Here is a 27,655-nt window from a genome sequence, read left to right on the forward strand (position 1 = left end):
AGGAGAATCACTTGAACCTGGGAGATGGAGGTTGCAGTGAGCTGAGATTGCGCCATTGCACTCCGGCCTGGGCAACAAGAGTGAAACTCTGTCTCAAAAAAAAAAAAAAAAAAAGGAAAAAAGGAAAAATAAAATAAGTTTGGGAACATTGCATAGGTTACAGTGTATATGAGACTACATGGAACATATTTACTCTAATACGTTTCACCCACATTTCTGTGATCACATAGGTGGAACATTGTTCTGGTACAATAGAGAATTTATATACTTTTTCTTGTGCTCAGTCTTCGCAATTAACTGATTTAGATATTTCAAGGTGACTGCCTGGAACAATTTCCAGACTTATTACCTAAGACTACAGAACTCCACTTCTTTTGACACCCTGAGTTATGGCATTGCCTGAAGCAATAGTTGTTAATTACGGTAATGATTATTTCTTCAGGAGTTAAAAAGTTAGAGTTTAAATCTTTCTATAGGACTGTGGAATTTTCACTTTAAGGGTTACGTGAGGATCTGAACTAGTTAATATTGAAATGAGTACACTTGCATGAACCAAACTACAGTACTTTGAAAATAAGTTGTTAGTTTTTGTAGATTAGCGTTCTCTTTTTAGAAAATCTCAGATTTAAATTTTTTGATTTTCTTGAAGCAATTTCTTTGTCTTTGCTTTTTAATTGGGCATCACGAACCCTTAGCCAGAAGTGTCACCAGTGGGAAATGCGCTAAGCCAGGAAAGTATGTAGCCGAACAAAAGGCAAAGGCTACTGTGTTCTTTTGCTAGGCTATGGTTTGCAAAACATGACTCTCACAAACGTCCAGCTTCTCTGGAAAGAAAGGTAACTAGACATTGCAGAAACAGCCATGGGGCAAAGGATTAAACTGAGGTTTTCCAGGTTGCAGGATTTGAGTTACAGGGTAAAGAATCTTGCCATATATTTTCTATTATTTTGGCCGCGGTTTCTTTACCCTCTTGTTTCTTGTTGGTAGGGAACATGAAGAGTTTCAGAATTCATGAGGAATTTCAGGCCTGGGGAAAGAGCTGCATTTCTTCCTTATGCTTTTTCCTCCAAGATGGCGTTGAGTTAGAAAGACCTGGAAGGGGGTCAGCCTCTCCTCCTTCCTTGCTCCACTGAAGAGCAGGAGGGGACTCCTCTGCTAATATCCATTCTTTATAGTTTGCAGTTAATTTCTCAACTTTGGTTGTTTTGCCTTCTTATATTGTCAAATGGAGACTCTGTAGATGTTTCTTGAGTCCAGGGATTAGCCAGTTCTTTGTTTCTGTCGCCACTAGCAATGCAGGATCACAAGATGCTTCTGAAGGCCAAATGCTACAGGAGTTAAGAAGGCAAGAGAGTGAAAGTGGGGTAGGGAAAGGAAGAGAAGAGCATGGGAAAAGCAAGAAATACATTTGTTAGAGAGTGTGGCAGTGTGGGTGTGGCAGGAAGGATGCTGCATTATTTCAATAAATGTTGGAAGAAAATTTGACAAAATTCATTGTCCATTTCTGATAACAGCATATTATTTAATAATTTTCTGTAGCTGCTGTAACAAATTACCACAAACTTGGTGGTTTAAAACCCCTGAATTTTTTTTTTTTAAGTTTTGTTTTACGTTCAGGGGTACATGTGCAGGTTTGTTATATAGGTAGACTTGTGTCATGGGGATTTGTTGTACAGATTATTTCATTACCCAAGTATTAAGCCTAGTACCCATTAGTTATTTTTCCTGATCCTCTCCCTCCCCCTCCTTCCACCCTCTGATAGGCCCCAGTGTGTGTTGTTCCCTCATGTGTCCGTGTGTTCTCATCATTTAGTTCTCATTTATATAAGTGAGAACATGAGATAATCTGGTTTTCTCTTTCTGTATTAGTTTGCTAAAGATAATATCCTCCAGCTCCACCCATATTCCTGCAAAGGATGTGATCTCGTTCTTTTTTTATGGCTGCATAGTACTTCGTGGTGTATATGTACCACATTGTCTTTTTTCCTTCCTTCCTTCCTTCCTTCCTTTCTTCCTTCCCTCCTTCCTTCTTTTTTTTGACGGAGTCTCACTCTATCGCCCAGGCTGGAGTGCAATGGCACCATCTTGGCTCACTGCAACCTCTGTCTCCAGGGTTCAAGCAATTCTCCTGCCTCAGCCTCCTGAGTAGCTGGGATTACAGGCACGTGCCACCACGCCCGGCTAATTTTTGTATTTTTAGTAGAGACGTGGTTTCACCATGTTGGCCAGGCTGGTCTTGAACTCCTGACCTCAACTATTCTGCCCGCCTTGGCTTCCCAAAGTGCTGGGATTACAGGTGTGAGCCACTGTGCCCGGCCCACATTTTCTTATCCAGTCTATCATTGATGGGCATTTGGATTGATTCCACGTCTCTGCTATTGTGAATAGTGCTGCAGTGAACATATATGTGTATGTGTCTTTATGGTAGAATGATTTCTATTCCTCTGGATATAGACCCAGTAATGGCATTGCTGGGTCAAATGGTAGTTCTGTTTTTAGCTCTTTGAGGAATAGCCACACTGCTTTCCACAATAGTTGAACTGAGTTACACTCCCACCAACAATGTATAAGCATTCCTTTTTCTCTGCAACCTCGCTGGCATCTGTTATTATTATTATTATTATTATTATTCACTTTTGAATAATAGACTTTCAGACTGGTCTGAGATGTTATTTCACCGTGGTTTTGATTTGATTCAGACTGGTCTGAGATGTTATTTCACCGTGGTTTTGATTTGATTCGGACTGGTCTGAGATGTTATTTCACTGTGGTTTTAATGATCAGTGATGAGCTTTTTTTCACATGCTTGTTAGCCACATGTATATCTTCTTTTGAAAAGTGTCTGTTTGTGTCCTTTGCCCACTTTTTAATGGGGCTGTTTGCTTTTTTCTTGTAAATGTGTTTAAGTTCCTTATAGATGCTGGATATGAGACCTCTGTCAGATGCATAGTTTGCAAAAATTTTTTCCCGTTCTGTAGGTTGTCTGTTTATTCATAATTTCTTTAGCTGTGCAGATGCTCTTTAGTTTAATTAGATCCTGTTTGTCAATTTTTGCTTTTATTGCAGTTGCTTTTGGCATCTTCATTATGAAATCTTTGCCCATTCCTATGGCTGAGTGGTAGTGCCTAGGTTGTCTTCCAGGGTTTTTATAGTTTTGGGTTTTACATTTAAATCTTTAATCCCTCTGGAGTTGGTTTTCGTATATGGTATAAGGAAGGGATCCAGTTTCAACCTTCTGCATATAGCTAGCTAGTTATTCCGGCACCTTTTATTGGATAGGGAGTCCTTTCCCCAGTGTTTGTTTTTGTCCACTTTGTCGAAGATCAGATGGTTGTAGGTGTGCAGCCTTATTTCTGGGCTCTGTATTCTGTCCCGTTAAAACACCAGAAATTTTTTCTCTGACATCTGGAGGCCAGAAGTCTACAGTGAAGGTATTGGCATGTCAGGCTCCCTCCAGAGGCTCTGGGAGAGGATCCATGCCTGTGGTGGCTGCTGGCCTTTGGCATTCCTTACATTGCAGCTGCATCACCAAAGTCTCTGACTCAGCCTTCGCCTCTCCTTCTCCTCTCTGGGTGTGTCTACTCTCCCTCTGCCCCTCTGTGTAAGGACACTTCTGATTGCATTTAAGTCCCACCTGGATAATTTAGGCTCATCTTCTCATCTCAAAAGCCTTAATTTAATCACATCTGCAAAAAATTATCATGATAACATTCATAGGTTGCATGGATTAGGATATGGGCATGAACTTGGGAACCATCCTCAGCCTAGCCCACTCAGTAAAATGAAAAGAGTGATATACCTCCTCAACATGAGAAAAATCATTCAGTTGGTCTATTCAGCTGAATCCAAAGCCAGCATCATTTTTTTTTAATTGTGAAAAGCAAGAAAGAATTCTCTTAAAGTGAGGATCAAATGAAGATGTCTACATGAATATTTCATATATGTTTTGGACATGTCAGCCAATGAACTTATACAAAAGAATAAGAGGCTTAAATATTAAAAAGTTGTGTACAATTCATTTGGAAACAAGTAGACAGATTAATAGGTGATATTGGAAGAACTATCTAGCCATTGGGGAAGCGGAAAGAATGTTTTTACCTTATGAAAATGCAGAGAACATAAAAGAATGTAAAAATTTAAAATTTTATATAACCAAAAAGGAAAAAAAACAGTGTATGTGTTTGTGTGTGTGTGTGTGTGTGTTGCAACACTAACTACAAAAGGGGCAATGCCTTCTTTTACAAAGAAAACAATAATAATAACCTGTTATAAAAACGAGCAGATGACTTGAACAGGGAGTTCACAGAAAAATGAATACAGATGACAGTGGATATATAAAAAATACTCAGCTGCAGCTGGGCGTGGTGTCTCACGCCTGTAATCCCAGCACTTTGGGAGGCTGAGGCAGGCAGATCACCTGAGGTCAGGAGTTTGAGATCAGCCTGGCCAGCATGGCGAAACCCCGTCTCTACTAAAAATACAAAAATAAGCTGGGCATGGTGGTGTACGTCTATAGTCCCAGCTACTTGGGAGGCTGAGAAAGGAGAATTTCTTGAACCCGGGAGACAGAGGTTGCAATGAGCTGAGATCGTGCCATTGCAGTCCAGCCTGGGGGACAGAGTGAAACTCCATCTCAAGAAAAAAGAAAAAAAAAAATATATGTATACTCAGCTTCATTAAATATTTTTAAAATGTGATTCAAAACAATGAGACACCCCTTGTACCCTTGTACCCATCAAATTGACAGAGATGAAAATGTTAATTTGCTGAGGGATTATTTATATTTATTCATTTTTCCTTTTTTCATTAAGAGTTTAAGTTAGCTTGCTAGGTTGCATAAAATTAAGCAATTTAGCATAAATTAAAAGTAAGTGAGGCCACCTGCAAAGTAGTCTTGCCAAACAATCTGATCAAGTTGAATCTGATCAATTTCTAACCAACAGAGGGATGTGTGAGTCAATAACAAGGGATAAGAGCAGCAGAATCCAGTGGAAAAAACTACAGGACACATGGCCTGCATTTCTTCAACAAAATAATTGCATGAAGTTGCAGGAGGAGAGGAAAGGGAGAGGCAAAAAGAAATGGAGGGAGGTCAGGTGCAGTGGCTCACGCCTGTAATCCCAGCATGTTGGGAGGCCAAGGCGGGCAGATCACCTGAGGCCGAGAGTTTGTGACCAGCCTGGCCAACACGGTAAAACCTCATCTCTACTAAAAATACAAAAATTAGCTGGGCATGGTGGCACATGCCTGTAATCTCAGCTACTTGGGAGGCTGGGGCATGAAAATCGCTTGTACCCAGGAGGCAGAGGTTGCTGTGAGCCAAGGTCGTGCCACTGCACTCCAGCCTGGGTGACAAAGTGAGACTCTGTCTTTAAAAAAAAAAAGAAAGGAAAAAACAAAATGAATGGAGAGCCCCTGGATTAAAAGGGAAATAAGACCCTGTACTGATAGCATTCTAGGGGAGGAGTTGCAGATGAAGAACGTTCCTTTGTTTCTTTATTACCCCCTTAGTCTTCAAGCAGCTGGTTGAATTAAAGTTACTATCTTGGAGTTTCCTTTGGTTAAAAGGGAGGTGATCAGAGTGCTATTAAAATTGTGGGCCGGGCGTGGTGGCTCATGCCTGTAATCCCAGCACTTTGGGAGGCTGGGGCGGGTGGATCACCTGAGGTCAGGAATTCGAGACCAGCCTGGCCAACATGGCGAAACCCTGTTTCTACTAAAAATACAAAATTAGCCGGGCATGGTGGCGCACTTCTGTAATCCCAGCTACTCGGGAGGCTGAGATAGGAGCATCGCTTGAACCTGGGAGGTGGAGGTTGCCGTGAGCCGAGATCGCGACATTGCACTCCAGCCTGGGCAACAAGAGCGAAACTCTGTCTAGAAAAAAAACCAAAAACCAAAAAACAAAACAAAACAAAAACCCAAAATTGTGGTCTTGGACCAGAGGAAAAAAAGAATCCATTACTTCCACATAAAAAAAAAAAAAAAAACAACAAATTCACCCCTCTTATTCGCTATGCCACTCTTTTAACTATTAAAACAGAATTTTCTGTGATTCTGTTACTATTTAAGAACATCTTTATATATTGGTAAATTTCGTTTTATTTTTTCTTTTATTTATTTTTTTTTTGAGCTGGAGTCTCGCTCTTGTCGCCCAAGCTGGAGTGCAGTGGCGAGACTTCGGCTCACTGCCTCCACCTTCCAGGTTCAAGTGATTCCCCTGCCTCAGCCTCCCAAGTAGCTGGGACTACAGGCGCCCACCAACACGCCCAGCTAATTGTTGTATTTTTAATAGAGACAGGGTTTCACCATGTTGGCCAGGGTGGTCTCAAACTCCAGACCTCAGGTGATCCACTCGCCTCAGCCTCCCAAAGTGCTGGAATTACAGGCTTGAGCTACTGCGCCTGGCTATTTTGGTAAATTTCAAACATATTCAAAAGTGGACTGTATTATAACTGCCAGGTATCTAGCACTCAGCTTTGACAATGACCAGCTCATGGCCAATCCTATTTTATCTGTATCTCTATCCCCCACTCTGCCTTTTTTTTTGAAGCAAATTCTAGAATAATATCATTTCACTCGTAAACATTTCAGTATTATCTCTAAAAAAAAAATACTTATTTTTTAAAACCTAACCAAAACCCAGTGTGTATTTTGAAAAGCTCGAGCACGCCACTAAATTTCTTTGCAACCCATTGCCATTTTTTATTTTAAAGTGATGTTTTTAACACCCTTATGACTACATTTCCTTGCGATCAATGCTAATGAGTGAAGCAGCCCATAAATGAGGAAGGAGATGAACCGAGACAGTAGGAGTTCCCTACTGCCTGCCTCCTGCCTTTTCCCTGGGCCTAGAACATAACTCAGGGCATTGGCTGTGATTTGCTTTTAGGTTCTTTTAAGAACATCTTAGTCAACACCAAATTGTTAACATGACATAAAAGGTCTACTAGGACTTTTTTTTTTTTAGCTTTAATCACATGAAGCTGTAATAAAACCCATTTGAGCACTTTTATTCTCTTAAAATGGGGCCATTTCCCAATTAGCGGATGGACAGGCTGGCTCATTCTTCTTTGACAGGAACGTAATTCTTTGTGTCCTTCACCGATTCTTCGAAATGTTCTTAGCTTGGCTGGCTGCCTTCCCTTCTTTTTTTTTTTTTTTGAGAGGGAGTCTTGCTCTGTCTCCCAGGCTGGAGTGCAGTGGTGCGATCTCGGCTCACTGCAACCTCTGCCTCCCGGGTTCCAGCGATTCTCCCGCCTCAGCCTCCAGAGTAGCTGGGATTACAAGCGTGTGCCCCACACCCGGCTAATTTTTTGTACTTTTAGTAGAGATGGGGTTCCAGCGATTCTCCCGCCTCAGCCTCCGGAGTAGCTGGGATTACAGGCGTGTGCCCCACGCCCGGCTAATTTTTTGTATTTTTAGTAGAGATGGGGTTTCACCACGTTGGCCAGGCTGGTCTCGAACTCCTGACCTAAAGTGATCCGCCCACCTTGGCCTCCCAAAGTGCTGGGATTACAGGCATAAGGCACCGCACCTGGCCACCTTCTTTCATTCTTCTTGTTTCCCTGTCTGTCTCAGGCAACTTTCTACCTCTCTGTTTGTCATTCCCAGATCTACTCATTTCCTCCTGTCCCTCTCTTAAGCTCCATTTGCCTGCTTGAATTCTGCCATGCGTCCCGTCCCTGCAGCATCTTATACTTAATACATCTGACTTGGAACTCATGATCTGCCCTTTCCCCACTGGCCACCCCCACTGACCTGACTTTCCTCTTTCACTTAACTTCATTTGGGGGTGGAAAAGCCAGATGACGAGTATCATTTTTATTACCACTACTATTACTAGTAGCAATACTTCTACTATTACTATTACTACTTCCAGTACTACTACTATGCTTCTGTTCCTTTGTTCCTCTTATGCAGTAAGTGACCAGAGCCTATAGATTTTGCCTCTGCAAAATTCAAGCAGCTTATTTGTGAGCCAGATTGCTGTGGTCTCTACCTCTTATTTTTGGGTCTAGTGCTTAAACTCTGTACATAGGTAAGAAGACATGGGCCCTGACTTCAAAGGGCTTGCATTTTTAGTGGAAGACATGGATGAACAGATGGGTTCACTTAATCAGCATAGGAAGGTTCAGGGTACTGTGGCAACACAGAGGAAAGGTATTTATTGCATTGGGGACTTTCATGGAAGACTTCCTGGAGAAAAACATACTTGAGCTGAGTGTCGCAGTTGACTGGGGAAAACAGGTAATAACAACATTCTGAGGAAAATAAGAGCAAAGACCTGGAGGCATAAAACATCAAGGCATGAGAGTATGTGGGTTTATGCATGAGTGTGTGTGTAGCACAGTTTCAAAACATCCTGATATTATTAGATCAGTTCATCTTGTTACATCTTTTTTTTTTTCTGAAGCATGGATGTGGCATGATGTTCCTCTACTGAAAAACATACATGACTTCTCTTTTTACATCTGAAATTTAAAATATATTTGTTACAGTATTTTGATCTCTGACTCCAACTTCCTCCTCCAGGTTTCTCTCTCCACCACTTTTCAGTTTGTCCAGAGTAGAAAACTCAGAATTCTTTGAATATACCACAGTGCTTCTCCTTACAAAGATATTTCATCCTCATTTTACTTTGAATCCCCTTATTGTCTCTCCAAGTCTTGATTGTCAAAATCCCACCCATGGTCTTTTTAAACTTTGATTTTGGAAATATTTAAATATATAAAGAAGACATACAGTATAACAAACCCTCAGGTACCCTTAAATCCTACCAAAATCAAAGGGCCACTTCAAATACCACTTCGTATGTGAGACCATTTCTCAGTGTTGCTTGTCTTGCTTCTTCTCTCCTGCTTTCAGGGTGCAATGCTTGTATTGCACATCACACATACCCGCTGTTATTATGGAGTTGGGTTTTCATATCTCCTGATGCTTCGATGGCAGAATTGCATCTTAATAAGTTTTGACCCTTGCAATGTGTACCCTGGGGAATGATTGACAATTTCAGCTCAAAGATAGAGATAACACAGTGAGGAGCTAGCTTGGAATTTAATTCTTACTAATCAGAAAGAACTGGTGGGTTGTGGGGGATGTGACAAGAGCCTTGGAGGAAAGTGACGTTGGCAACATAAAGTGAGAAATGGTAAAACAAGACAAACAAACAAACAAACAAACACAAAACAACTTTACATAGACATGTGGTAGACAAGGGCTACTTAACTGTGGCTGATTTCTCAGACACTTGTGAAACTTAAAAAAATATATGGATCCTGAAGCCTCACTCTATCAACTTAGCTGGTAACTACTGTCCCCAGTAGCTGAGAGACCTGGACAAAAGGGCATCAGCAGGGGACCCACCTGCATGGGTCCTTTTGGGGCAGTTTCACCCATAGGGATAGGATTGCAAGTGTGGCTTCAGTGACACAACTACAATGTGAGATTTTAAGACTTTTTAGCACTTAGAGACTCTGTATGGCACCCAGCACGCCTGGAAGCCACACACACACACCTGGAAGCCACACACACACACACACACACACACACACACACACGTGCACGCAGAGAGAGAGAGAAGGGACCACTGAGCCAATGTCTTTATTGGGTACAGGGCGTTATCCAGTTTCCTGCAGGGAGCTTTAATTGCTGGGTTTAAAGCAAGCAGGCACTAGTTCTAGGAGGTCACAGCGTGACTGAGAGGTGGTCACCTTACGTTTGTGGGCAAATGTCTGCATGGTCTGTTTAAAGGGAGTGGCAGGAAAGTAGGGAGGCCAGCCTGCTAGGCAGGAGAGATGTCTCTAAGTTTCATGTCTGGCCACTGGTTTGGAGCCAATCTGGTGGAGTGTGGTATTAGACACCGTGTTAAGAGTGACTGAGCCCTGCTTCTGATGTGAGATAGTTTAACTTAGGTTTAAAAATGGATACTGAGGCAATGTAAAATTATAAGCACTCACTACACTCAGTCCCAGAAATCCTGAGTCTATAGACCTGGAGAAGTTCCCATAGTCAGTGGGCACAAAGAGAGGTAGATTCAAGATTGATGAGATGTTTGAAAAATGTAATTCTAGTGTAAATAACACGAAAGAGGGAGAATGGAGCACGGAATTTGAAGAAATAAGATGCCATCCAGGGAACATTCTGCTTAACTCATATTTTAAAAATGTAAGCGTAAACATGGAAGGGACAAAAGGAAGTATTTATTGAGCACCTATATTATGCTACACCCTGCTAGGCTTCTTCACACACACTGTGTCAATCGAGTCTCTTAATGACCTGCGGAGATTGTACATCATCTCCAGTTTGCAGGTGTGGAAACTCAGTTTAAGATAAGAAACTTTCTCAACATTACGTCACTAAGTGGGACAGCTGGGATTTGAAATGATTCTTATTGATGCAGAGGTTTGTGCAATTTCCATTCCATTCTTGGTTGTTCATTTTGTTTGTTTGTTTTTTGAAGAGCTCTGTACAAATGTTCAAAACAGTTGAGAAAAGAATAACAAACATTCAGTCAACAAATATTTATGATGTGCAGGTGCTGGGCAAAATCATTGGCCATCATGGAACTTATATTCTAGTGGAGAAAGGTAGATAAACAAGTAATAAATAAATGCAGAAGTAAATAAATAAATACAAAAATAAAATAATTCTAGATTGTGAGAAAAGGTTTGCGGGAAATGAGTGGAAGATGGTCGTGGAGATCTATTGTAGAGAGAGTGGACATTTTTCAACTAAAATATCAAAGTTTCAGGGAAGCTGCTTTGAGCTCATATTGTGTTGCAGGCTGAGTGTAAGGTGCCAGAATGTGAAAGCAGGAATGTGTGGATAGTAATCCTTAGATTGTGTTCAGGAAGCTCTGGGAAGGTTCTATGAGGGAGGTTTTGAATTTGGAAGGTTGAGTTCTTGTCTGCAAGACAGCTAGAGCCCTCCAGGTAGAAGGAACAGTATGAGCAAAGGTAAGGTCTTAGGAGATTCATTCTGACTCTGAAATCAAACTGACTGCAGGTTTTAAAATGAGCTTTTCAGCTGGGCACAGTGGCTCACACCTGTAATCCCAGTAACAGCACTTTGGGAGGCTAAGGCGGGCGGATAACCTGAGGTCAGAAGTTTGAGATTAGCCTGGTCAACATGGCGAAACCCCATCTCTACTAAAAATACAAAAATTAGGCGGGTGGGGTGGCACGTGCCTGTATTCCCAGTCGCAGCTACTCGGGAGGCTGAGGGCCATGAGAATTGCTTGAACGTGGGAAGCAGAGGTTTCGGTGAGCCTAGATAGGACCACTGCACTCCAGCCTGGGTGACAAAGTGAGACTCTGTCTCAAAAAAAAAAAAAAAAAAAAAAAAAAAGGCCGGCCATGGTGGCTCACGCCTATAATCCCAGCACTTTGGGAGGCTGAGGCAGGTGGATCACGAGGTCAGGAGTTCAAGACCAGCCTGACCAACATGGTGAAACCCCATCTGTACTAAAAAATACAACAATTAGTTGGGCGTGATGGCGGGCACCTGTAATCCCAGCTACTCAGGAGGCTGAGGCAGGAGAATCACACAAAGCCGGGAGGCGGAGGTTGCAGTGAGCTGACATTGTGCCACTGTACTCCAGGCTGGGTGACAGAGCAAGATTCCATCTCAAAAAAAAAAGAAAAAAAAAAAGAGGTTTTCAGCTTTTCTTCTCTAAACTTTCTGTAATTCCAGAGAGATTTGTCTTCAGTGTTTGGAATCTCAGTGGTATATAAGAGCCAGTGGTTTTGGAAGATTGGAGGATGGCAGAGTCCCTGTTCACTTTTACATTGCTGTTGCAAAGCCAGCTTTCTTCCTGCATGCCTCTTCCCCTGCCCTGCTTCGTTCGTTGCTTTGCATATGATGATTGCAATTTAATAACACTGAATGATACTTCACTGCTGGTTTTATTGCCAACTACCCTTGGAACGTAAGCCTAGATGCAAGTAGTAAGGAGAGGGCAGCCAAGGCCTCTAGATTGCCAGTTACTTGGCTGGAAATCCCATTCATATTGGGAAACAGATTTTTAAAATAAATTTGGCACTGGAAACACTGCCATCCTTTTGTGAAGCTGTGTCAATAATCATAAACTCTCATAGTCGTGCCCCCAACCCTCGGCCAAGCTAACAAATATTTAGGCATCAGCATATCTTCACGATGCCACCTTCTGTTGACCGCGTGGGCTTCTCATGCTGTTTGGGTTGGCAGTGGAACATAATCTTCTGTTTTATGTAATGAGGAACATCAGAGGAGTGCTTTGTGCTTACCCTCTCAGAGTGTGTGCAAGACCTCTCGTGTACCCCATCATTTTCGGTGCAGTCAAAGCTAGCGAACATTTCTGTGGCCTGGTAAATATTTTCTAACTATTGGCAAGGCTTTTTAAATTTTTTTTTCCAGTGCCATTTTGCTCCAGGCCAGGATTATAATGACCCAGCTTTGCTTTGGTTTCAGATGAATTTTGCAAATATATGTGTGTGGTGGGATTACACTATTTTCAGAGAACACAGTCATGCGGGTAACAGGGTCTGATGCAATATAGTGCTGCATATGCCCAATCAGGCCGACGAGGCTTACCCTTTGCAGACTGTGCCAATAAGCAGTCGAGGCTTGTTGCGATCTGCAGAAATCTACAGAATTCTCTGTTTCCGAGAAGGCTTGTTGCTAGCATATGACATCATAGAAAGCCTTTTTTTTTTTCTGACATTTTTTCTGCTTTGCTTTAGAATATCAAAGGCAAAGACTGTTGAACATAGTTGGCCACTTAGCTTTATTATTCATAGTGCTCCCTCCCATGTTTTTTTTTTTTTTTTTTTAACAGTGTTCAATGTTAGCGTCAGGTGTTGGCTGCCTTCCTGGGGGAACAGATTGCTGTGAAGTAAACACAGCTGGAAACTGACCACATATTGTTTTTCTTTCTTTTAAGAAATCAAAGAGGCATTTATAGAAAAGCTGCAGAACATGGTACTGTCCAGATTTATAGATTTATTCCTCCAAGTCTGGTTAATGATTAATGTCACGCCTGGGTGTCCACATAGACCCACTTCCCTTCTCCCTTCCTGAAGCTGCAATTTCCTCGGAACAATGAGCTTGCAGAGGTTTGCTGCAATCCGAACTTGAGGAGGGGGTGGAGTCTGTTCAGTTCTGTTTCTCCTTGCCGAAGTGTGGTCTTTGGAGCTAAGTGAAGAATGACTTCTGTTAGGTTTTCCTCTGCTGGTCTTCCTTGCAGCCTCGAAAACCTCACCAGAGTCGCCTCTGCTGGTCTCTTACTGTGCTGCTCTGTCAGAGATGGGCAAGTAAGCGAACTGCAGAGTGTTGCTGTGTGTGCTTGTGATTTGTATTTTATTTGATGTAAACGTGAAGGCAGAGTATTTTCTAACACTGTAATTCAACTAGGTTTTGTGTCTCCTGGATCTATTTTTTTTTCTTGTTGTTCTGAGGAGCTGATATACTTGGAAATATTAGGTTTAAGATATGCAGATGTCCAACTTATATACATAGTCAAGGGTTTAGAGTCTGGAGACAGGAGGCTGGCAATTTCAACTAGGAGGCAGTAAATTCAGGGTAAGAATGATGTTGATGTGGGGGGCTGTGGGGGTGGCTGGGTGTAACAGTGATCTGGGGAGAGAATCAAAGGCCTTCTCCTCCCACTTGGAAGACTTTACTATTATTTTGGTCTTTTATTCCTTTGGTCTCTGTGCTAAAAACTTTCTCTCTTTTTTACTGTTTCTTTGTATAGATGTTTTGGTGATTTAAGTTATGGTGTAATAATTAATTGCTGTTAAGAATTGCTACTAATTACTTGCTATATTAAAGTTTTCCAAAGGGGTTTTCTCAATAAATAGCTATTTCTCTTTACATCTATCTTGTAAGAACTGAGTTAGAGGTAAAGAAGAGAAAGATGTAGGAATTTAAGAGTAACTTCTGCTTTTGGTTTGCTTAAATGACAACTGGAGACCAGTTTTCATAGGCAAAATATATGTTACTTTAGTTTTTGTTTTCGTTGAGAGAACTGTAGGGTCGCCTTTTGGGATTACCTGAATTATCTGTCACCTGCACTGGAATTTGTATGTAGTTATCTGTATAGTTATCTAAACAAGTTGAATCCGTCATTCATTCCTCACTGAAGAATCTCATCGAAAGTAACATTCCCTGTCTGTTTGGCTGAGGTGCATGGATGGGAATTGTTGGAATTAGGCCATATATCTATTTGGATTCTCATAACTGGGTCCAGCACCTAGCATAGTTCCTGGTACATAGGAAAGCTCTATGCGATGTCAATAACTGACTAATTTAGTAACATCCTTAACAGCTGTTTGAGTTCCAAGAGCAGGAAAGTGAATGGTGAGTTTTGAACCTTATAAAATACATAAGTAAACCCAAATGAGGAGAGAATTGAGAAAGCCTCTTATTCTGAAGGTGGTCCTAAAAGGCTTTCTCTAGGCTGATTACTGCGAAGCATATTTTTTCCTGGCTATATACAACTTGGCAGAATTGATCTGATTTTGGATTCTGAAGGAATTGAAAAATTTCATTATACATTATAGTGGGCTATAATGATGTGGCCAGTTCTCTTCATTAATTTTTTAAATGACTTTAAAAAAAATGAGACAGTACTGATTGTTTCCCTAAATGAATCTAATTAACAGCTACTTAAGGTATCTTAATGTTTTTTCATATATGTTATCTGCTTTGATTCTCATATCAGTCCAGTGAGGTGAGTATGGTTGTTACTTCCTCATTTTACAATTGAGAAAACTGAGAGTCAGATGAAAAGTGATTCTAGAAGTTGCGTGATGCGTGGAAGAACCAGATGTCAGCTGGGTATTTTAAAACTCAAAATCCCGGGTACGTCTCACCTGCCCCCTCTCCAGTCATCTCTAAACGTCTTCTATTGCAGGATAGTAGAAAGAACTCCCACCTGGGTGTCAGGAGACCTGGATTCTGATTCTGACTGGGTCATTGCTGACCTCTGTGATGTGGAGCAAGTCACTGAAGTCTTTGGATGTTATTTTTCTGCAAGGAGGTTATTTTAATTGGTTTAAGTTTCTTTGCAGCTTCAGGATCTATCCAGGGCCATATCCAGGGCTTGTGTTATCTCTGAGTGCTCATCTGCAATGTAGAGAAGAGGTGGGAAAGGAGGTAGGATTCTTTTTTTTTCTTTTTTTTTTTGAGACAGAGTCTTGCACTGTCGCCCAGGCTGGAGTGCAGTGGTGTGATCTCAGCTCACTGCAAGCTCCGCCTCCCAGGTTCACGCCATTCTCCTGCCTCAGCCTCCCCTGTAGCTGGGACTACAGGTGCCTGCCACCATGCCCGGCTAATTTATTGTATTTTTAGTAGAGACAGGATTTCACCGTGTCGGCCAGGATGGTCTCCATCTCCTGACCTCGTGATTCGCCCGTCTCGGCCTCCCAAAGTGCTGGGACTACAGGCATGAGCCACCGCGCCTGGGCAGAAGGTAGCATTCTTTCCAGCCATTCTATGCAGCTCTCCCTTGGTTTCCCCTGCCAAGTGCAAAGAGACACAGGATCTCCATGCATGAGGAAAACCCCAGGCCCTTGTTTGCTCTGTTCTGCTTCCTGAGCTGGCATTTCTCAGTCTGTTCTTTTTTACTCATCAACAAAAGTATTCGAGCCAAATTCTCTTGTAATTTCAGCCCAGGTGTGATCAACATCAAGTTACCTTTCCATTTGGCCCAAGAAGAAGTTATAACTTCCTTGCATAAGCTCATCTGTTATCTTAATCCTTTCTGGAACAGGGAAAATGTAAATAAGTATTACTCTATCCCTCTCTTAAGTTTTTCAAATTACAGCAGGTGGTTGGGAAAAGGGGAGGGCAGAACAGTGGAAAAGCATTTTTTATTCTACTTCCATTGCTAACTTTGTAGTAGTTAACAGATCGATTTAGAAAATAGTGGGTTACTAAGATAAGGGTGACCACCCTTTACTAACACTAAAAAGAAAAAAAAAAAGCTATAACCAAGTGTCTGCCATCACCATTATAGTGTAAAAGAAAAAAAAAACAAAAACAAAAAACAAGGCCAGGCATGGTGGCTCATGCCTGTAATCCCAGCACTTTGGGAGACCAAGGTCAGCGGATCACCTGAGGTCAGGAGTTCGAGACCAGCCTGGCCAACAGGGAGAAACCCCCATCTCTACTAAAAATATAAAAATTAGCCGGGCATGGTGGTGCATGCCTGTAATCCCAGCTCCTCAGGAGGCTGAGGTAGGAGAATCGCTTGAATCCAGGAGGCAGAAGTTGCAGTGGGCTGAGATTGTGCCACTGTACTCCAGCCTGGGTGACAGAGTGAGACTCTGTCTCAAAAAAAAAAAAAAAAAAAAAAGTTGCAATGACAAATTCTCAGTGGGGAGAAAGGGCAGATCTTCCTAGGAAAAGAGAGTTGGCATTCTCATCCTGATGTTTGCCCCCTGGACTAATGAAAAACCTCATTCATGACCACAGTCTGTATTTGAGAAGCTCTGTCCTACCTGGTGCTTGGGTTCTTAACACTCACAGACTTCCTGGGTAGGAAGTGGCGCTTTGAATGGAGACATGAGAGCTGCCTGTGCAGGTCAGCTCTTTCCTTTGCCGCAGTCTCTTTCTCTGCTATCTTGCTATGATTTAGTCCTTAACTTTTTCCTTTTGTCTTTCCCCATAGGCAAGAAGCGAAACCCTGGCCTTAAAATTCCAAAAGAAGCATTTGAACAACCTCAGACCAGTTCCACGTAAGTTGACAAGACCATCATCTGAATCCAAATCCTTGTGCTTTCAGATTCCTCCTGGGGGTTTATTTTTGGACTGCTGAGCAATGCCTTGACTTTAGAAGAGCCCTTTAAGGGGGAAGCCATTTGCTCACTGTTCTGAGACCTGAAATAGTCATCTTATCAGTCAGTTACGTTGAATGGGTAGTTTTGAACTCAGTGTCTTAAGTTATTGGTTGAGTAGGAAGTGAATGTCACATATATTTGGCAGATGGGGCTCTATGTAAGGCCAGAAAGGCCCCTGGATGTGAACTTCCTTGCCTTTTCCCTGTAGATTGGAGCAAACAGGCAAATCCCTGTGAAAGCCACTACTATAAAACTTGGGTTGAGATGGAAAGATGGTATTTGGTGAGGACCCACATCCTGACACTTAAATTCTGTCCCATATAAACAGAAGGAAGAATGAGGTAAAGGAACACTTTTTTTTTATTAGCTGAGGTTTTGGCCCAAATCCCTAAGTCAGCTCAAGTCCTAGTGAAGGACATCGTGTAAATGACATCCTCTCTGTGAGGATGTCTCCTTCTTGTTTTTTTTTTTTTTATTTTTATTTTTTATCTGTCTCTGTGTGGTGGGAACGGTACTTCCTGTCCAGCTGGAGGTACAACCACCTACCAAGGCATCTGCATGAGAGGAATGGAAATTCCAAGGAAACTCACAATAGAGGTGTTAGAGAGACAGGGCAAGGGCAAAGAGAGGGCATCCTAATGGAAAAGTGAGTTGGTAAGGCTTTTGTTCATGTCTACAAAAGTGCCTCCCTTTGTGATGGGTTTTGATCTTAGCTATGATCTGCTATCAGGAAGTGCACCCCTAGTGTTGGAATGTGTTCTTAAATGGGATCATGTCTGCTGTAAGACTTTGTTAAAGCCACTGGTCCTTGCATTGCGTGAAGCAGTATACAGACACTTTCCACTGGAGAATTTTTAAGGACAAAGTAGAGTTGAGGGCTACTCTTCAGGGTTCTGGACTGTAGCTCAAGAGTCTAAACTCAAGATAGAATGTTCCTTTCATTAGAATCTGCAGGAGGAAGATCCGTCTTCCCATACTTGCTGTCAAGATTGTTTTCTTTTTCTCTTTTTTTTTTCTTTTTTTTTCGGTCTCTCTGAGCAATTTCTTTTTCTCGTAGACCTGTGAACTGTGTAATTACTATTGTTTCCTCTCTGACTGGTTTCTCAAGAGCTTACAGTCAAATATGTGGCCTACTTTTACTACCTGTATAGGAATTTATGGGATATACTTTTAAAACTTTTTATTTTGAAATAATTGTAGATTAACAGGAGGTTGCAAAGAAACGTACAGGGAAGTCCCATAGATCCCTTTCCCCAGGCCATGCCAAACTCCCCCGCCATCCCAAGTTAACATCTTACACAACTATAATACATTATCAAGATCAAGAATGTGGCAGTAGTGCAAATCATAGAACTTAATTTTGCCAGCTATGCAAGTATTCCTTTGTGTGTGTGTGTGTGTGTGTGTGCACGTGTAGCTCTATAAAGTTTATCACATTGTGTAAGTCTTGCATAAGTACTATTATAATCAAGATACTTCACTACAGCAACATTACAAGACTCTTTTATGCTCCCCTCTTATAATCAAACCCACCTCTTCTCCCCATCTCCGTCCTTAATCCCCAGCAACCGCTAATCTGTTCTCCTTTGCCATTTTGTTATTTCATGATTGTTATATAAACAAAATCATGCATCTCTTTTTGAGATTTTTTTTTGTTCAATGTAATTTTATTGAGGTTCATGTAAATAATTGCATGTATTGATAGTTTGTTCCATTTTATTGCTAAGTACCCATCCATGGTATGGTTATACCACAGTTGGTTCAACACCTTAGCCTTTGAAGGAGATATGGGTAGTTTTCCATTTTTGGCTATTATGAATAAAGCTGTTATGAGCATTTATGCATAAGTTCCTGCATGAGAATAGGTCTTCATTTCTCTGGGGTGTAAGCCCAATAGTGCAATTGCTGGGTTATATGGTAAGCCCATCTTTAGTTTTGAAAGAACTGCTGAACTATTGGCCAGAGTAATTGTACCATTTTATGTTCTCAGCAATAATGTCCGAATAATCTAGTTTTTCTGGATCTCTGCCAGCAATTGGTATTATCAGTGTTTTTCATTTTAGCTATTCTGATGTGTAGTGATATATATGTAGTTTTTTTTTTTTTTTTTTTTTTTTTTTGAGACGGAGTTTCGCTCTTGTTGCCCAGGCTGCAGTGCAATGGCGTGATCTCGGCTCACTGCAACCTCTGCCCCCTGGTTTCAGGTGATTCTCCTGCCTCAGCTTCCCCAGTAGCTGGGATTATAGGCGCCTGCCACCATGCCCAGCTGATTTTTTTTTTTTCTTTTTTTGGTAGAGACGGGGTTTCACCATATTGGCCAGGCTGGTCTGCTGGTCTCGAACTCCTGATCTTAGATGATCCACCTGCCTTGGCCTCCCAAAGTGCTGGGATTATAGGCGTGAGCCACTGTGCCCAGCCTATATGTAGTTTTAATTTACAATTTCTCTAGTGGCTAATAATGTAGAATATGTTTTTAGGTGTTTATTTTCCATCTATATATTTTTGGTGAAATGTCTGTGCATATCTTTTGCCCATTGTCTAATTAGATACTTTTTATTGTTTACTTTTGAGAGTTATTTGTATATTCTGGACACGAGGACTTTGTCCGATATATATGTGATATGAAAATATTTTTCCCAGTTTGTAATTTGTCTTTTTATGCTTTTAGCAGGGTCTTTCACAGAGCAAAAGTTTGTTCAACTTATCAATTATTACTTTTACAGATCATGCTTTTGATAATAAGTCTAAGAACCCTTTGCCTAGTCCTAGATCTGTCTAGAAGTTTTGTAGTTTTGCATTTTGCATTTAAGCCCATGGTCCATTTTGAGTTAATTTTTGTTCAAGGTATGAGTTTAGGTTGAGCTTTATTTTTTTGGCCAGTGGGTTACCAATTATTCTAGCACCATTTGTTGAAAAGGCTATCCCTCCTCCATTGAATTGCTTCTGCTCCTTTGTCAATACCAATTGGGCATATTTGTTTGAAGTTATTTCCGCATTGTTTATTCTGTTCCACTGATTTATTTGTCTCTCCCTCTGCCAGTATGACATTGTCTTGATTACCACAGCTGTAGAGTAAGTCATAACAGGGAAACATGATTCCTCTCACTCTGTTCTCTTTCAGAACTATGTTGACTATTCTAAAGGCCTTTCTCTTTTCATATAAGTTTTAGAATAAGCTTATCTATGTCCACAGAGAAACTTACTGAGATTTTAGTAGGAATTGTGTTTAAGCTATAGATCAATTTAGGGCAAATTGACATTTTTACTACATTGGTTCTTCCAATCTGCAAACATGGTATATTTCTTCAACTTTAAAAATTTTATTTCTTTCATCAGCATTTTTATAATACAATTCCTCTATATTAGATTTTGTTAAAATTTATACCTAAGTTTTTTTTGGAGCAAATTTTAAGTGGAATTTGATTTGTGAACTTGGTTTTCACTTGTTCATTGTCAGTATATAGAAATGCAATAGATTTTTTCTGTATTGATCTTGAATTCTGTGGATTCTGCAATTGATCTTCTATTCTGTGACTTTACTAAAATCACTTATTAGTTCTAGAAGCTTGTCATCGAATCGTTAGGGTTTTCTATATAAACAGTCATGGCATCTGTAAATGGAGACTGTTTTATTTTTTCTTTTCCAATCTTTACTTTGATTTTTACTTTCATTTTCTTGCCTTATTGAAGTGGCAAGAATGTCCAGTCCTAGGTTAATAAAGTTCATGAGAGCAGGCAAACTTGCTTTGTTCCTCATCTTAGAGGGAAAGCATTTAGTCTTTCACTATTAAGTATGAAGCGAACTGTAGGTTTTTTGTAGATGTTACTTATGAGGTTGAAAAGGTTCCCAACTATATAAAACCTCTCAGTATACTGAGAGGTTCTTTTTGATTGTTTGTTTTTGTTTTTTTGAGACAGGGTCTCACTCTGTCACCCAGGCTGGAGTGCAGAGGTGTGATCATGGCTCACTGCAGTCTCAGCCTCCCCTGGCTCAAGTGATCCTCCCATCTCAGCCTCCAAAGTAGGTGGAACTACAGGTACATGCCACCACACGCGGCTAATTTTTTTTTGTGTTTTGTAGAGACGGGGTTTTGCCATGTTGCCCAGGCTGGTCTTGAACTCATGGGCTCAAGCAATTTGCCTGCCTTGGCCCTCCCAAAGTGCTGGGATTACAGGCGCGAGCCAACGTGCCCTGCCTGAGAACTTTTATTATGAATGGGTATTGAATCTTGTTGAATGCTTTCTCTGCATCAATTGATATGATCATAAGATTTTTCTTCTTTGATCTGTCGATATGTAGATTATGTTGATTCATTTTTATGTACTCAGCTAGCTTTGCATACCCCAAATGAATCCCAGTTAGTTATGGTATATATATTTTTGTGCATTGTTGGATTCGATTTGCTAAAATTTTGTTGAGGATTTTTGTTTCTAGGCTTTTGGGAGATGTTGGTCTGTGGTGGTTTATTTATTATTTCTCTTGTGCTATTATTTTCTAGTTTTAGTATTAAGGTAATAATGGCTTAATAAAAATGAATTGGTAAGTGTTGCTTCTATTTTTTGGTAGACATTGTATAATATTGGTGCTAATTATTTGGATGTTTGCTAAAATTCTCCAATGAAAGAAAATGAGCCTGGATTTTTTTTTTCTGGGACTTTTTAATCACAATCTCAATTTCTTTAGTAGTTATAGGACTATTCAGATTATCTGTTTCATCATGGCTGAGTTTTGGTAGTATGTGGTTTTGAGGAGTTGGTCCATTTCTTCCAAGTTGTCACATTTATGAGAGTAAAATTGTTCATAGTGTTTCCTGCCTATCCTTTAAATGGCTGCACAATCTGTTGTGACATCCTTTTTTTTTTTCCCTGATACTGATAATTTGTGTCTTCTTTTGTTAAATTTGTCAATTTTGCTTGAGGTTTATCAACTTTATTGATTTTTTTTCTTCTGAAGAACCAGCTTTGTTTTATTTTCCTATTTTCAATTTTATTGCTTTCTGCTTTTATTTTTGCTATTTCCTTTGGGATTTATTCTTACATCAACCTGCCAGGAGTCTTACATCCCTTCCCCTTACAATTTTTATTCTTTACCTTTTATATTAGTTTACATTATAGCATAAATTATATGTTAATTTTATAAATTTTATGAATTTCGGAAGGCTACCATAAACCCTTTCTTGGTATAAACAAGGATAAAAGCAGTTTATATTTTCCCTCGTATGGTATTAATAAGGTATACTGTGAATATACTTATCTGTTTCACTGTGTGAAGCAAAAAGTATCACTTCATTATTGTAGAGTATACCGCTGTAGCTCAAAGAGTCTCGTTGTTATTACTTTAATGCCAAGGCTTAAATTTGTACTCCTAAAGAAGTAGCTCCCACATTTTGTGTTTTTCTTGGCAATTTTTGAAGGCTGGCTTGGTGATTTCTTCCCATTCATACCCTGCCTCCTTCTGCTGCGCTTCACAAAAATAAATAGGCCTTGACAAAGCTCCATTCTCCCGAGTTCAACGTGTGTGGCCCCTCTGTTTGAGCTCTTTCTTTGAGCTACCGATGCCAGTGTGAGCTGTCCCTTCCCTTGATTGATAGTGACCAATTCTAAATCAGTTCGATGCTAGTTCATATTATTTCATTTAACCACCACAAGAAACTCAGAGGCAGTGTTTGTTACTCTCACTTGACATGTGAACAAACAGAACGATGCAACGGTCAGGTGCATTGCTCCAAGCTGTTGAGCATAGCTTCATGGGTAAGAGTTCAGGGTCTGGAGCCAGAACACTTAGGTTTATATTTGGGATCTAAACTTCACTAGTTGAATATCTTAGGCAAAATACCTAACTGCGCTAAGCCTTAGTTTCCTTTTCTAAAAATACAAAAAATTAGCTGGGCGTGGTGGCGGGCACCTGTAATCCCAGCTTCTTGGGAGGCTGAGACAGGAGAAGCGCTTGAACCCAGGAGGGAGAGGTTGCAATGAGCCGAGATCGTGCCATTGCACTCCAGCCTAGATGACAGAGTGAGACTCCATCTCAAAAAACAAACAAACAAAACTCAGGAATAACAGTGATGTTGCTGTCATGAGGATTAGATGTCATAATCCATATGAGTGTCTAGTGTAGTGCCTGGTGCATTGCAATTGCTCAATGAAAGGTAACTCCAAGTTAGTATTATCACACAGCTTCTCGGTGGAAGAACTGGCATATAAGCTCAGGAATCTCTGACTCTCAATTATGTACTCTTAGCCACACATCAGACTGGTAGAGGCTGTGAGCAAACAGTTTATGGCTAGTGAAATGAGAGGTAGTATCCTTTACAGCATACTGTGCATGAGAAGCCATAATGGTGCAGCTCTGGGTTCTAATCTCATTGTCTTTCTAAGTGTTTTTTTTTTGTTTTTTTTTTTTTTTTTTGAGACAGAGTCTCACTGTGTTGCCCAGGCTGGAGTGCAGTGGTATGATCTTGGCTCACCACAACCTCCGCCTCTTGGGTCCAAGCGATTCTCCTGCCTCAGCCTCCCAAGTAGCTGGGACTACAGGCACCCGCCACCATGCCCAGCTAAGTTTGTATTTTTAGTAGAGACGGGGTTTCACTATGTTGGCCAGGCTGGTCTCGAACTCCTGATGTCGTGATCCACCTGCCTCAGCCTCCCGAAGTGTTGGGATTACAGGCGTGAGCCACTGCGCCCGGCCTGAGTGTTCTTAAATTATTTAGTCACTTTCAATATTAATTGTTGAAAGAGGTATTAATGAGGTATTATACCTTGATTTCAATTCATACCCTATTCTATTTCAATAGAGGTAATAACACCTCTGAGAGTTGTAAAAATTAAGGAAGCTATTTTATGTAAATGGTCTCACGCAGTCTCTTGCCCAAATAGGTGCTTAATAAATATTTCTGAATCAATGAATAGTGATTGCGATAGTAACCAGTGAACTGATTCCTCATGTAAAATTATAAATGAATAATTATCATACTAAACCGAAGCTGGTTGTTCATATAAAAAAATGAATACTAGGTGACCTTTGGAAGACCTTTGGTCTTCCAGGGGAAGAATTTTTGTAATAAGCTTGGTTCTTTCCCCAGAGGACTAAAATATTGAAAAAGTGACAGAGAACATCCACCCACAGTATAAACTTCCTGCAGAATCGCAATGCCCCTGGCAAACTAATATGCCCAGCCCTGGAGAGAACACAGTGTCAACTAATCCAATCTGATTTGTCAGTCTTGGCCCCATCATTTGATATTTTTGGCCCACTTGATGAGCCCAAGGGCCTGCGGCACAGGCGAATTGATTATTTTCATTAGAGGAGGCCTGGGTATTGGGAGCAAGTTCCTTGTATTCAGTCTGCCTCGATGGGAATCGCAAGAGCAGGTAAAAAGCTCTTAGCCCAGTTTTTTATATTTCCTTCTCTTCTTCCTCTTTCTCCTCCTTAAATCAAGGCTGAGATTCGGGTGACTTGAGTTTTATTTTCAGCTCCGTTGATGACCGTATGGCTTCAGAAAATCACCCAGCTTTTCTGGGTTTCATTTTTCTCAATCTGGAAAATGGCACCAGACCCTTCTATTAGGTTCAGGGGTAATGCAAAGTTAGTATAGGGCCAAGGTCAGCAAACTTTTTTGTAAAAGGCCGGATACTAAATATTTTAGGCTACATGGGCCACAGAGGATGCCGTTGTTTATTTTTTGTTTTTTTACAAGCATTTAAATTTGGAAAAGTCATTCTTAGCTGGACCACAGGCTGTAATTTGCTGAGCCCTGGTATATATATAAAATATAAGAATATTAGACTTGGAAGAACTCATTTTTCGATAACCTCATTGGATGGCAAAAAAACAGTTGCAGCCCCAAATAATTAGTGACCTTTCTGTTGCTTCATATTTTTAAAAAGTCAGGATGGTGGGTGACGCCTGTAACTCCAGCACTTTGGGAGGCCATGGCAAGCGGATCACTTGAGGTCAGGAGTTTGAGACCAGCCTGGCCAACATGGCAAAACACTGTCTCTACTACAACTACAACGATTAGCCAGGTGTGGTGCCTGTAATCCCAGCTACTTGGGAGGCTGAGGCAGGAGAATTGCTTGAACCCGGTAAGGCAGAGGTTGCAGTGAGCCGAGATCGTGCCACTGCACTCCAGCCTGGGCGACAGGGTGAGACTCTGTCTTAAAAAAAAAAAAAAAAATCAGGGTGTTGAATAATTGCAAAGGATTTTTGTTGTTTATATTAGTCACATGTTTCAAGTCATATTTGCCTTTATTTCAAAGTGCCATTACAAATTAGTACAAGCAAATTTTGACAACTGAGGAAAAATAGCTTTGGAAATCTTGAGAAAGAGGAATTAGAATTTTAGAAATTTGATTCTTCCAGAAACCTTTTCTGAAGAAAAATTCCCTGCTCAGAAACACAAGATATATAAACACATCACTGCTGTTTGTGGGGCATGTGTGTGTGTTTTGTTTTGCATTGTTTTTTTCTCTCTCTCCCTCTCAGTCCCCAGTTTTAAGTTAGTATAAGAAACTTTAAGTATTCTATGTATTCCAAAAGGATTTTGAGGTGAGAGAAGGCTTGCCATTAAAATCTTAGAGTCATGTTTATATCTGTATTTGTATTTCTCTTTTTTTTTGTTTTGTTTTTTGAGACTGAGTCTCGCTCTTGTCACCCAGGCTGGAGCGCAGTGGCACGATCTTGGCTCACTTCAACCTCTGCCTCCTGGGTTCAAGCGATTCTCCTGCCTCAGCCTCCCGAATAGCTGGGATTACAGGTGTCCGCCACCACGCCCGGCTAATTTTTGTATTTTTAGTAGAGATGAGGTTTCACCATGTTGGCCAGGCTGGTTTCAAACTCCTGACCTCAGGTGATCCGCCCACCTCAGCCTCCCAAAGTGCTGGGATTACAGGCGTGAGCCACTGCGCCTCCGCCCATATTCCTACTTTTTAATTTTATTTATGTATTCAATTTCAGCAAAAGGGTTAGAATCATAATACCTGAGAGTTAGAAAAAATCCTCATTGGCAAAGGTTTCTTTTCTCTCTCACTTTCATCTTTCCATTTTCCTTTGCCTTTTTCTGGCATGGAATGTGCTTCCAGAGAGACATGAGTCTTTACCTGTCTGCTCACCCTCTTTCCCTCTTTTCTGGCAGCACCAGGATTCTTTCGTCTTTAGCCTCTAGTTGTTCTTTTTGTTTGATCACATTAACAATTTGTTTCTCGAAATTTGCTTTTTTTTTTTTTTAATACAGAGTCTCACTCTGTCACCCAGGCTGGAGTGTAATGGCACAATCTCGGCTCACTGCAACCTCCGCCTTCCGGGTTCAAGCGATTCTCCTGCCTCAGCCTACCAAGTAGCTGGGATTACAGGCATGCGCCACAATGCCCGGCTAATTTTTGTGTTTTTAGTAGAGATGGGGTTTCACCACGTTGGCCAGGCTGGTCTCGAACTCCTGACCTCAGGTGATCCGCCTGCCTCAGCCTCCCAAAGTGCTGGGATTACAGCTGTGAGCCACCGTGCCCGGCCAGCATTTGCTATGTTTATTGTACTACTGTTGGTACATTTCTTTCAGGAAAATGCCTTTCTCAGCTCCTAGTTGTGTGCACAGCCAGAGCCAAACATTTTTCTCTTAAGTAGATTGATACCACCTGAGAGATCATTGAAGTGGTAGAAATAAATACTCAGGAAGTGACTATAGAAACAAAATCAGCAAACCTCTGGCTCTTAAGAAGACCCCAGAATTGTATATGTGCTGTGCACAGAAGAAATATTGCTGGGCTTGATAAGACAGCCTGGTTGAGTAGAGAGGATGCAGAACTGGATATCAGGAGACCTGGGGCAGCTGTGGGCTGGGAGCAGTCACTTTACTTCTCTGGACCTTCTGTCCATCTATAAAAGAAGGGACGAGATTTGAAATTCTTATGTTCTATGAATTTTGTGAGTTAACAGAATATATGCCATTACTATTTGTTTCTTAAAACAATTGTGAGACATGTGGTGAAATAATTACATATATTGGTGCTCTTGGGTGAAAGAAAAAGCTTGAGACTTACTGCTGTAGCACAATGACCTATATCAGCGGTCCCCAACCTTTTTGGCACCAGGGACTGGTTTTTTGAAAGACAGTTTTTCCATGAACTGGGTGGGGGGATGATTTCGGGATGATTCAAGCACATTACATTTATTGTGCACTTTATTATTATTACATTGTAATACATCATGAAATAATTATACAACTCACCATAATGTAGAATCAATGGGAGCCTTGAGCTTGTTATCCTGCAACTAGATGGTCCCATCTGGGGGTGATGGGAGACAGCAACAGATCATCAGGCATTAGATTCTCATAAGGAGTGCACAACATATATCCCTTGTATACACAGTTCACAGTAGGGTTTGTGCTCCTATGAGAATCTAATGCCACTGCTGATCTGACAGGAGATGGAGCTCAAGTGGTAATGTGAGCGATGGGGAGCTACTGTAAGTACAGGTGAAGCTTCTCTCCTTCACCCACCACTCATCTCCTGCTGACTGGTATTAGTCCATGGCTTGGGGGTTGGGCACCCTAATCTATATAATAGCACATGTATAGCTCATACGAATTAGATATTTACTGTATGCCAGACATTCAGCTAAGCATTTTACTTGTATTGTCTCTTTTAATACTCACTCCTGCTTCACAATATAGGTATATTAATATCCCCATGTTAAAGAAGAAAGGGAGCCCCAAAGAGATTAAGTGATTTAAACCCAAATGTGATTTATTTCAAATCCCCTCTTATTCACACTCATAGGCTGCTTTAGTTTACTCATGAACTTCCACTTTCTTCTTAAGGAAAAAATATCCTCA

General features: G+C 41.0%; 1 protein-coding gene across 7 annotated transcripts in view, besides 3 other annotated features; it reads left to right on the top strand.

Annotated features, from left to right (window-relative positions):
• MAP2K6 (mitogen-activated protein kinase kinase 6) overlaps positions 1 to 27,655 on the top strand; it is a 139,169-nt gene that overhangs the window by 74,429 nt on the left and 37,085 nt on the right. For 2 of the 7 annotated variants that reach the window (NM_002758.4, XM_047436411.1), the window contains exon 2: positions 16,655 to 16,721. In NM_002758.4, coding sequence (NP_002749.2) covers positions 16,655 to 16,721 — 67 coding nt within the window. Of the gene's footprint in view, positions 1 to 13,051; positions 13,095 to 13,136; positions 13,561 to 15,053; positions 15,139 to 15,333; positions 15,455 to 15,493; positions 15,762 to 16,654; positions 16,722 to 27,655 lie in introns of those variants that run through there. The other 5 variants (XM_047436410.1, XM_011525027.4, NM_001330450.2 and 2 more) reach the window with 5 other exon arrangements.
• Positions 14,838 to 14,887: an enhancer, noted in NCBI's record as "active region_12655". NCBI's record gives its function as "activates an Ori minimal core promoter by ATAC-STARR-seq in GM12878 lymphoblastoid cells {active_cell/tissue: GM12878}" and the evidence as "EXISTENCE:reporter gene assay evidence [ECO:0000049][PMID:35858748]".
• Positions 14,958 to 15,017: an enhancer, noted in NCBI's record as "active region_12656". NCBI's record gives its function as "activates an Ori minimal core promoter by ATAC-STARR-seq in GM12878 lymphoblastoid cells {active_cell/tissue: GM12878}" and the evidence as "EXISTENCE:reporter gene assay evidence [ECO:0000049][PMID:35858748]".
• Positions 17,212 to 17,713: an enhancer, noted in NCBI's record as "NANOG hESC enhancer chr17:67502478-67502979 (GRCh37/hg19 assembly coordinates)". NCBI's record gives its function as "activates a minimal SCP1, AML or CMV promoter by ChIP-STARR-seq in primed H9 embryonic stem cells {active_cell/tissue: H9 hESC(primed)}" and the evidence as "EXISTENCE:reporter gene assay evidence [ECO:0000049][PMID:30033119]".

This window comes from Homo sapiens, chromosome 17 (genome assembly GCF_000001405.40).
Source record: "Homo sapiens chromosome 17, GRCh38.p14 Primary Assembly".
NCBI classification, from domain to species: Eukaryota; Metazoa; Chordata; class Mammalia; order Primates; family Hominidae; genus Homo; species Homo sapiens.